This window comes from Homo sapiens, chromosome 7 (genome assembly GCF_000001405.40).
Source record: "Homo sapiens chromosome 7, GRCh38.p14 Primary Assembly".
NCBI lineage: Eukaryota > Metazoa > Chordata > Mammalia > Primates > Hominidae > Homo > Homo sapiens.
This window is the reverse complement of record NC_000007.14, coordinates 106,205,752-106,217,176: the sequence shown is the minus strand read 5'-3', so window position 1 is coordinate 106,217,176 and position 11,425 is coordinate 106,205,752. Positions and strand designations below refer to the sequence as shown.

At 42.2% G+C, this 11,425-nt stretch overlaps 1 long non-coding RNA gene and 1 pseudogene across 1 annotated transcript; one reads left to right on the top strand and one right to left on the bottom strand.

Moving 5' to 3' along the window:
* Window positions 1-752, top strand: LOC124901719 (uncharacterized). The gene is made up of 2 exons (XR_007060467.1): window positions 1-237; window positions 610-752. It is a non-coding gene; the product is annotated as an uncharacterized LOC124901719 (long non-coding RNA).
* RNU6-392P (RNA, U6 small nuclear 392, pseudogene) lies at window positions 8,910-9,010 on the bottom strand (annotated as a pseudogene).

Genomic DNA, 11,425 nt, shown 5'->3' with positions numbered 1-11,425 from the left:
TTCCCGCTCTTCCAATGCCTGGCTGACTTCCCTAACCACCCAAAGGGAGGAGCCACCCAGTCGCTCATTTCCCCATTGCCTTAATTTTCATCTTTGCTCTTACTGGTATCTACTGTTGTTTCTGTTTTTCATTTGTTTACCTTCTCTCCCTATTGAATACAGCTTTCTGGGATCGGGAAGCTGATCTGTTTTGCAGTCTGCTGAATCTGCAATGTTTCAAATAGTGCCTAGTGCATAGTAAGTAGTCTATAAATATTTATTGAATAACAAGAAAGAAATTGGGCTTATATTTTGGAGTTTATGTTAGCTTTGTTGTTTTGTTTGTTTTTTGAAAGCCTGAAGTTTTAGACTAGAGAAAACATAACACAGGTATGTGGCTGAGATGGCTACCTGTCCAGCAACATCCATATTCCCTGTCTTTAATAAGAGCACTCCTGTGTTTTAGCTGAGAATTTCTCTGGCCAGTTCAAGTGTACTTTTCTTGGCATCTTTACAGCATGGATTTGGTCATGCTGGGTGAGAATGAGCTGTGTCATTTCTGAGTCATGTCCTTAAAAGAAATTTACATCCTCCCTTCCCCTGGCCTTTATCCCCCTTCCCGCTACCTAGATGATATCAGGATCCAAAGCAACCCCGTTGGAGCCAAAGATGGAAATCCTGTGTTGAGAAAGACGAGCCGCCTTGTCAGCTGTGAACAGTTTACTTCTGGGTTATTACATGGAGAAAAATAAACTCCCATCTTTTTAAACCATTATATGTGGGGCTTTCTTAGTTACAACAGCTAGGCCAGTACCCTATGCCTAACAGAAGTTTTTAAGTCTTTTTCAGCAACTTAGAGTGTTTTAGCTCTATCTGGTCTGCCTCTGCCAGAAACTACTACACAAATATTACCTTTTTTTTTGTTTTATTTTATCCTTACCATTTGTCAAGTTAGTTCCTGTGTCCCACAACACACCGCATTTGTGTGTTGCAGAAAGAGAAGGAAAACACATTTAATGAATGTCTACTAGGTACCAGGGACTATATTAAATGCCTTGCCTGTAATACTTTGATTCTCCTAATAGACATATGAGTCTGATGTCATTTTCTCTTTTTTTTCCTTTTTTTTTTTACTATTATTAAACTTTAAGTTCTAGGGTACATGACCACAACGTGCAGGTTTGTTACATAGGTATACATGTGCCATGTTGGTGTGCTGTACGCATTAACTTGTCATTTACATTAGGTGTATCTCCTAATGTTATCCCGTCGCCCTCCCCCCACCCCATGACAGGCCCCGGTGTGTGAGGTTCCTCTTCCTGTGTCCATGTGTTCTCATTGTTCAATTCTCACCTGTGAGTGAGAACATGTGGTGCTTGGTATTTTGTCCCTGGGATAGTTTGCTGAGAATGATGGTTGCCAGCTTCATCCATGTCCCTACAAAGGACATGAACTCATCCATTTTTATGGCTGTACAGTATTCCATGGTGTATATGTGCCACATCTTTTTAATCCAGTCTATCATTGATGGACATGTGGGTTGGTTCCAAGTCTTTGCTATTGTGAATAGTGCCGCAATAAACACACATGTGCATGTGTCTTTATAGCAGCATGATTTATAATCCTTTGGGTATATACCCAGTAATGGGCTTGCTAGGTCAAATGGTATTTCTAGTTCTAGATCCTTGAGGAATCGCCACACTGTCTTCCACAATGGTTGAACCAGTTTACAGTCCCACCAACAGTGTAAAAGTGTTCCTATTTCTCCACATCCTCTCCAGCATCTGTTGTTTCCTGACTTTTTAATGACTGCCATTCTAACTGGTGTGAGATGGTATCTCATTGTGGTTTTGATTTGCATTTCTCTGATGGCCAGTGATGATGAACATTTTTTCATGTGTCTGTTGGCTGCATAAATGTCTTCTTTTGAGACATGTCTGTTCATATCCTTTGCCCACTTGTTGATGGGGTTGTTTTTTTCTTGTAAATCTGTTTGGGTTCTTTGAAGATTCTGGATATTAGCCCGTTGTCAGATGAATAGATTGCAAAATTTTTCTCCCATTCTGTAGGTTGCCTGTTCACTCTGGTGGTAGTTTCTTTTGCTGTGCAGAAGCTCTTTAGTTTAATTAGATCCCATTTGTCTATTTTGGCTTTTGTTGCCATTGCTTTTGGTGTTTTAGACATGAAGTCCTTGCCCATGCCTATGTCCTGAACGGTATTGCCTAGGTTTTCTTCTAGGGTTTTTATGGTTTTAGGTCTAACATTTAAGTCTTTAATCCACCTTGAATTAATTTTTGTATAAGGTATAAGGAAGGGATCCAGTTTCAGCTTTCTACATATGGCTAGCCAGTTTTCCCAGCGCCATTTATTAAATAGGGAATCCTTTCCCCGTTGCTTGTTTTTGTCAGGTTTGTCAAAGATCAGATGGTTGTAGATGTGTGGTATTATTTCTGAGGGCTCTGGTCTGTTCCATTGATCTATATCTCTGTTTTGGTTACTGTAGCCTTGTTGTACAGTTTGAAGTTAGGTAGCATGATGCCTCCAGCTTTGTTCTTTTGGCTTAGGATTGTCTTGGCAATGTGGGCTCTTTTTTGGTTCCATATGAACTTTAAAGTAGTTTTTTCCAATTCTGTGAAGAAAGTCATTGGTAGCTTGATGGGGATGGCACTGAATCTGTAAATTACCTGGGCAATATGGCCATTCTCACAATATTGATTCTTCCTATCCATGAGCATGGAATGTTCTTCCATTTGTTTGTGTCCTCTTTTATTTCATTGAGCAGTGGTTTGTAGTTCTCCTTGAAGAGGTCCTTCACATCCCTTGTAAGTTGGATTCCTAGGTATTTTATTCTCTTTGAAGCAATTGTGAATGGGAGTTCACTCATGATTTGGCTCTCTGCTTGTCTGTTATTGGTGTATAAGAATGCTTGTGATTTTTGCACACTGATTTTGTATCCTGAGACTTTGCTGAAGTTGCCTATCAGTTTAAGGAGATTTTGGGCTGAGACGATGGGGTTTTCTAAATATACAATCATGTCATCTGCAAACAGGGACAATTTGACTTCCTCTTTTCCTAATTGAATACACTTATTTCTTTCTCCTATCTGATTGCCCAGGCCAGAACTTCCAACACTATGTTGAATAGGAGTGGTGAGAGAGGGCATCCCTGTCTTGTGCCAGTTTTCAAAGAATGTTTTTGCCCATTCAGTATGATATTGGCTGTGGGTTTGTCATAAATAGCTCTTATTTTGAGATATGTCCCATCAATACCTAATTTATTGAGAGTTTAACATGAAGGGCTGTTGAATTTTGTCAAAGGCCTTTTCTGCATCTATTGAGATAATCATGTGGTTTTTGTCTTTGGTTCTATTTATATGCTGGATTATGTTCATTGATTTGCGTATGTTGAACCAGCCTTGCATCCCAGGGATGAAGCCCACTTGATAATGGTAGATAAGCTTTTTGATGTGCTGCTAGATTCAGTTTGCCAGTATTTTATTGAGGATTTTTGCATCAATGTTCATCAGGGATATTTGTCTAACATTCTCTTTTTTTTGTTGTGTCTCTGCCAGGCTTTGGTATCAGGATGATGCTGGCCTCATAAAATGACTTAGGGAGGATTCCCTCTTTTTCTATTGATTGGAATAGTTTCAGAAGGAATGGTACCAGCTCCTCCTTGTACCTCTTGTAGAATTCAGCTGTGAATCTGTCTGGTCCTGGACTTTTTTTGGTGGGTAGGCTATTAATTATTGCCTCAATTTCAGAGCCTGTTATTGGTTATTCAGGGATTCGACTTCTTCCTGGTTTAGTCTTGGGAGGGTGTATGTGTCCAGGAATTTATCCATTTCTTCTAGATTTTCTAGTTTATTTGCATAGAAGTGTTTATAGTATTCTCTGATGGTAGTTTGTATTTCTGTGGGATCGGTGGTGATATCCCCTTTATCATTTTTTATTGTGTCTATTTGATTCTTCTCTCTTTTCTTCTTTATTAGTCTTGCTAGTGGTCTATCAATTTTGTTGATCTTTCAAAAAACCAGCTCCTGGATTCATTGATTTTTTGAAGGGTTTTTTGTGTCTCTATTTCCTTCAGTTCTGCTCTGATCTTAGTTATTTTTTGCCTTCTGCTAGCTTTTGAATGTGTTTGCTCTTGCTTCTCTATTTCTTTCAATTGTGATGTTAGGGTGTCAATTTTAGATCTTTCCTGCTTTCTCCTGTGGGCATTTAGTGCTAATAAATTTCCCTCTACACACTGCTTTAAATGTGTCCCAGAGATTCTGGTATGTTGTGTCTTTGTTCTCATTGGTTTCAAAGAACATCTTTATTTCTGCCTTCATTTTGTTATGTACCCAGTAGTCATTCAGGAGCAGGTTGTTCAGTTTCCATGTAGTTGAGCAGTTTTGAGTGAGTTTCTTAATCCTGAGTTCTAGTTTGATTGCACTGTGGTCTGAGAGACAGTTTGTTATGATTTCTGTTCTTTTCCATTTGCTGAGGAGTGCTTTACTTCCAACTATGTGGTCAATTTTGGAATAAGTGTGATGTGGTGCTGAGAAGAATGTATATTCTGTTGATTTGGGGTGGAGAGTTCTGTAGATGTCTGTTAGGTCCACTTGGTGCAGAGCTGAGTTCAATTCCTGGATATCCTTGTTAACTTTCTGTGTGGTTGGTCTGTCTAGTGTTGACAGTGGGGTGTGAAAGTCTCCCATTATTATTGCGTGGGAGTCCAAATCTCTTTGTAGGTCTCTAAGGACTTGCTTCATGAATCTGGGTGCTCCTGTATTGGGTGTATATATATATTTAGGATAGTTAGCTCTTCTTGTTGAATTGATCCTCTTACCATTATGTAATGGCCTTCTTTGTCTCTTTTTATCTTTGTTGGTTTAAAGTCTGTTTTATCAGAGACTAGGATTGCAAGCCCTGCCTTTTTTTCTTTTCCATTTACTTGGTAGATCTTCCTCCATCCCTTTATTTTGAGCCTATGTGTGTCTCGGCACATCAGATGGGTCTCCTGAATACAGCACACTGATGGGTCTTGACTCTTTATCCAATTTGCCAGTCTGTGTCTTTTAATTGGAGCATTTAGCTCATTTACATTTAAGGTTAATATTGTTATGTGTGAATTTGATCCTGTCATTATGATGTTAGCTGGTTATTTTGCTCGTTATTTGATGCAGTTTCTTCCTAGCATCAATGTTCTTTACAATTTGGCATGTTTTTGCAGTGGCTGGTACCAGTTGTTCCTTTCCATGTTTAGTGCTTCAGGAGCTCTTGTAGGGCAGGCCTGGTGGTGACAAAAATCTCTCAGCATTTGTTTGTCTGTAAAGGATTTTATTTCTCCTTCACTTATGAAGCTTAGTTTGGCTGGATATGAAATTCTGGGTTGAAAATTCTTTGCTTTAAGAATGTTGATATCTTTTGCCCACTTTTTGATGGGGTTGTTTTTTTCTTGGAAATTTATTTGAGTTCATTGTAGATTCTGGGTATTAGCCCTTTGTCAGATGAGTAGGTTGTGAAAATCTTCTCCCATTTTGTAGGTTGCCTGTTCACTCTGATGGTAGTTTCCTTTGCTGTGCAGAAGCTCTTTAGTTTAATTAGATCCCATTTGTCAATTTTGGCTTTTGTTGCCATTGCTTTTGGTGTTTTAGACATGAAGTCCTTGCCCATGCCTATGTCCTGAATGGTAATGCCTAGCTTTTCTTCTAGGGTTTTTATGGTTTTAGGTCTAACGTTTAAGTCTTTAATCCATCTTGAATTAATTACTTCTCAAAAGAAGACATTTATGCAGCCAAAAGACACATGAAAAAATGCTCATCATCACTGGCCATCAGAGAAATGTAAATCAAAACCACAATGAGATACCATCTCACACCAGTTAGAATGGCGATCATTAAAAAGTCAGGAAACAACAGGTGCTGGAGAGGATGTGGAGAAATAGGAACACTTTTACACTGTTGGTGGGACTGTCAACTAGTTCAACCATTGTGGAAGTCAGTGTGGCGATTCCTCAGGGATCTAGAACTAGAAATGCCATTTGACCCAGCCATCCCATTACTGGGTATATACCCAAAGGACTATAAATCATGCTGCTATAAAGACACATGCACACGTATGTTTATTGCGGCACTATTCACAATAGCAAAGACTTGGAACCAACCCAAATGTCCAACAATGATAGTCTGGATTAAGAAAATGTGGCACATATACACCATGGAATACTATGCAGCCATAAAAAATGATGAGTTCATGTCCTTTGTAGGGACATGGATGAAATTGGAAATCATCATTCTCAGTAAACTATCGCAAGGACAGAAAACCAAACACCGCATGTTCTCACTCACAGATGGGAATTGAACAATGAGAACACATGGACACAGGAAGGGGAACATCACACAATGAGAACACATGGACACAGGAAGGGGAACATCACACTCTGGGGACTGTTGTGGGGTGGGGGGAGGGGGGAGGGATAGCATTAGGAGATATACCTAATGCTAAATGACGAGTTAATGGGTGCAGCACACCAGCATGGCACATGTATACATATGTAACTAACCTGCACATTTTGCACATGTACCCTAAAACTTAAAGTCTAATAATAATAAAAAAAAGGAAAAAAAAGTTAAACATTAAAAAAAAAAAAAAAGAATGCTGAATATTGGCCCCCACTCTCTTCTGGCTTGTAGAGTTTCTGCCGTGAGATCCGCTGTTAGTCTGATGGGCTTCCCTTTGTGGGCAACCTGAGCTTTCTCTCTGGCTGTCTTTAACATTTTTTCCTTCATTTCAACTTTGGTGAATCTGACAATTATGTGTCTTAGAGTTGCTCTTCTCAAGGAGTATCTTTGTGGCATTCTCTGTATTTCCTGAATTTGAATGTTGGCCTGCATTGCTAGGTTGGGGAAGTTCTCCTGGATAATATCCTGCAGAGTGTTTTCCAGCGTGGTTCCATTCTCCCCGTCATTTTCAGGTACACCAATCAGATGTAGATTTGGTCTTTTCACATAGTCGCATATTTCTTGGAGGCTTTGTTCGTTTCTTTTTACTTTTTTTCTCTAAACTTCTCTTCCCGCTTCATTTCATTCATTTGATCTTCAATCACTGATACCCTTTCTTCCAGTTGATCGATTCGGCTATTGAAGCTTGTGCATGAGTCACGTAGTTCTCGTGCCACAGTTTTCAGCTCCATCAGGACATTTAAAGACTTCTCTACACTGGTTATTCTAGTTAGCCATTCGTCTAATCTTTTTTCAAGGTTTTCAGCTTCTTTGCAATGGGTTCGAACTTCCTCCTTTAGCTCGGAGAAGTTTGATCATCTGAAGCCTTCTCTCAACTCGTCAAAGTCATTCTCCATCCAGCTTTGTTCCATTGCTGGTGAGGAGCTGTGTTCCTTTGGAGGAGGGAGAGGCGCTTTGATTTTTAAAATTTTCAGCTTTTCTGCTCTGTTTTTTCCTCATCTTTGTGGTTTTATCTACCTTTGGTCTTTGATGATGGTGACGTACAGATGGGGTTTTGGTGTGGATGTCCTTTCTGTTTGTTAGTTTTCCTTCTAACAGTCAGGAACCTCAGCTGCAGGTCTGTTGGAGTTTGCTGGAGGTCCACTCCAGACCCTGTTTGCCTGGGTATCAGCAGCAGAGGCTGCAGAACAGTGGATATTGCTGAACAGCAAATGTTGCTGCCTGATCGTTCCTCTGGAAGCTTCGTCTCAGAGGGATACCCGGCCATGTGAGGTGTCAGTCTGCCCCTGTTGGGGGGGTGCCTCCCAGTTAGGTTACTCAGGGGTCAGGGACCCACCTGAGGAGTCAGTCTGTCAGTTCTCAGATCTCAGACTCTCTGCTGGGAGAACCACTACTCTCTTCAAAGCTGTCAGACAGGGACATTTAAGTCTGCAGAGCTTTCTGCTGCCTTTTGTTCGGCTATGCTTTGTCCCCAGAGGTGGAGTCTACAGAGGCAGGCAGGCCTCCTTGAACTGTGGTGGGTTCCACCCAGTTCGAGCTTCCCAGCTGCTTTGTTTACCTACTCAAGCCTCAGCAATGGTGGGTGCCCCTCCCCCAACCTTGCTGCCACCTTGCAGTTCAATCTCAGACTGCTGTGCTAGCAATGAGCCAGGCTCCGTGGGCGTGGGACCCTCCGAGCCAGGCACGGGATATAATCTCCTGGTGTGCCGTTTTCTAAGACCATTGGAAAAGCACAGTATTAGGGTGGGAGTGACCCCATTTTCCAGGTGCCATCTGTCACAGCTTCCCTTGGCTAGGAAAGGGAATTCCCTGACCCCCTTGCACTTCCCAGGTGAGGCGATGCCTCGCCCTGCTTCGGCTCACGCTCGGTGCACTGCACCCACTGTCCTGCACCCACTGTCCAACAAGCCCCAGTGAAATGAACCCGGTACCTCAGTTGGAAATGCAGAAATCACCCGCCTTCTGCGTCACTCATGCTGGGAGCTGTAGACTGGAGCTGTTCCTATTCGGCCATCTTGGACTAAATCGATGTCATTTTCATTTTATACACATGGAAACAGGCTCAGAGAGGTTAGGTGTCTTGTCCAAGTTCACACAGCTATTAAGTGTCAGAGTTGGGCTTTGAACCCAGAGGACATCGAGCCTGCTCATTCTAATACTCTGAACTTACATCATGGTATATGAAATGACTGAGGGCTTGCATAGGGGTTTCAAGATTTGCTTTTCTTTTGGCTATAATTGACATCATTAATATAATTGTGTGACTTTCACTTCATAGCTTGCTGCTCTTTATGATGTCTTTATGTAGCCTTTTATCTCTCACGGTCATGTTTATTTGTTTATAAAAATTGTGGTAAAATATAACAAAATTTACCATTTTGGCCATTTTTAACTGTACAGTTCAGTGACATTAAGTACATTCACATTGTTGTTCAGCCCTCATCACTATCCATCTCCAGAATCTTTTTAACCAGCCCCTGAAAACAATATGAAACACTTCATGAATTTTTGTGTCCTCTTTGCACAGGGGCCATGCTAATCTCTCAGTCTCATTCCAATTTTGGTATATGTGCTGCAAAGCAAGGGGGCCTTGTGTTTAAGTCACTGGTTTTCTAACTCTTGGCTCCCCTCCCCATTCTCTAGCTTTCCTTCTGTGATCTGCTGCCTTCAGCTCAGTAATGAATTGGAGTGTCCCAGTCATACCTGTGCCTGCTCAGGATCGTGAGGGAGAGGAAGGAGAAAAAGGCATGATTCTTTATCAAGTGGCCTGGCTTGGATCTTATCTCTGCTTTCTGCCCCCACCAACAACCCAGGAATCAGAGCAAGGAGACAGGAGAAGGTTCACAAACTCCCTAATTGAAATCTGAATCATTTCGGAGTTTCTTAGCCCTTCAAAGGGTGAGTTAGGAACTGTGATTTGCTCCACACTGGAGCCATCAAGATGAGATGGCTGAGCATGGTGGCTCACACTCGTAATCTCAGCACTTTAGGAGGCAAAGGTGGGAGGATCACTTGAGGTCAGGAGTTTGAGACTAGCCTGGCCAACATAGTGAAACCCCAACTCTACTAAAAAAGTACAAAAATTAGCTAAGCGTGGTGGTGCACCCCTGTAGTCCCAGCTACTCAAGAGGCTGAGGCAGAGAATCGCTTGAACCCAGGAGGCAGAGGCTGCAGTGAGCCTAGATCACACCACTGCACTCCAGCCTGGGCAACAGAGACTCAGTCTCAGAAAAACAAAGCAAAAGAAAAGATGAGACTTAGAGAGCTCCCGCGTGCCAGGGCCAGGAGGAGAGATGGGAGTCACCAAGTCTTTCCTCGTCCCCTGGGTTCACAGGGGAGGCCACCAAGGGTCCAGTCAGTGTTGTAGCTTGAGCCCTGGTAGGAGCTAGATAACCAGGTAGGATTCCTGACTCTCATCCAGGTCCCTCTACCTTAACATCTACTGACAAATCTCACCCTGCCCAATATCGTCCTATTTCCTCTTACATATACTTAAAAGCCTTTCTCTCCCTAACTAATGCCTCAAGCACTGTCAGCACTTCCCAACAGAGCCCGTTGATCCCATGGGTCTTTCAGATCCAGTGCTAGGGGATTAATAAAAACCTTTAAAAAAGTAGGCAGCTGTTGTGGTTGCTCTGCTTTGCCACCCAGCTCCCCAGCAGGACAGCAGGTCCTGTCCCGCAAGCTGCTGGGAATGTTGGCTAACAGCCCTCAACTGCCAGCCCGTTCTGGAATTGCCCTCACCTGCAGAGAGCCACCCTGCCTGGGGTTATGCCCCCTTCCCAGGACAGCCTGATCTCATGACAGGAAGGGCCATCCTAGCTCCAAGCTCTCTATGGAGCTGCAGAGGCCAGTCATGAATGCACTGTGGCCCAGCTCCTCCCTCTGAACAATTTGGCTTACTTTCCTTCCCCACAGGTGCTAACCCTAGTAGCTCCCCTAATAAATCTCTGGCACATTAATCTCTCCATCAGAAACTGCTCTTTAGGAAGCCAACCTACAACAGCTCCAAAATAAAAAAGAACAATTAAGAGGCTCTAATGAATAAATGTTTAATGCAATGTTTACAGATGCCACATTATGTGAACTCCATTAATTGTTAAATTTAGTATTCATCAACATTTAAAATATCATTACCTCTAATCACCATCTGCAGGTCAGAATTTCTCAGTTCATGTAAATTCCAGCCCATATGTAATAGATGCTGACAAATAATAGCGAATTGTAAATTAAATGCAGCACTTACAGTTAAATAATTTCAAAAGTAAAGTTACTAGGGCTGGGTGCAGGGGCTCATACCTGTAATCCCAAAACTTTGGGAGGCCAGTAAGCAGAAGGACTGCTTGAAGCCAGTTCAAAACAAGGCTGGGCAAAAAAGCAAGACCTCAGCCCCCACCCTCCACAAAACATTTTTAAAAATTAGCTGGATGTGGTAGCACATGCCTATAGTCCTAGCTACTTGGGAGGCTGAGGTGGGAGGATTGCTTGAGCCCAGGGGGCCGAGACTGCAGTGAGCCGGGATAGCACTATTGCACCCCAGCCTGGGTGACAGAGACCCTACCTCAAAAAAAAAGTCATTAGATTGAAATTATGAAACTGCTAATATCTGACCATTTTTGACCTTTATAAATGGCAATTTCACATGGTTCAACATAGTATCTCATCAAATATTTACTTATATTTAATTGGGGATGTAGGTGTACTCTAATGTGTTTGCCTTCCAACATTAAGCATGCTAAGGCCTGTAAAGATGTCAGAAACAGCCTTCCCTCTTTGGAATAAAGATACTACAAGCAGAATAGAGACAAAAATCAAGATAATGGCAAGATTTGGGAGCAAAGAAAGGAAACTGAAGCCCAGACCTAATTTCACTCTGCATGACTCATTGCACGGTTGAAGCATTTCTTGCCTCTCGAGGTTTCACCCTCATCTCAAGCTCCTAGGGCCCCATTTCCTGCTTTCCCACTTTCTGTACTCATTCTCCCTTTCGGAGGTTTC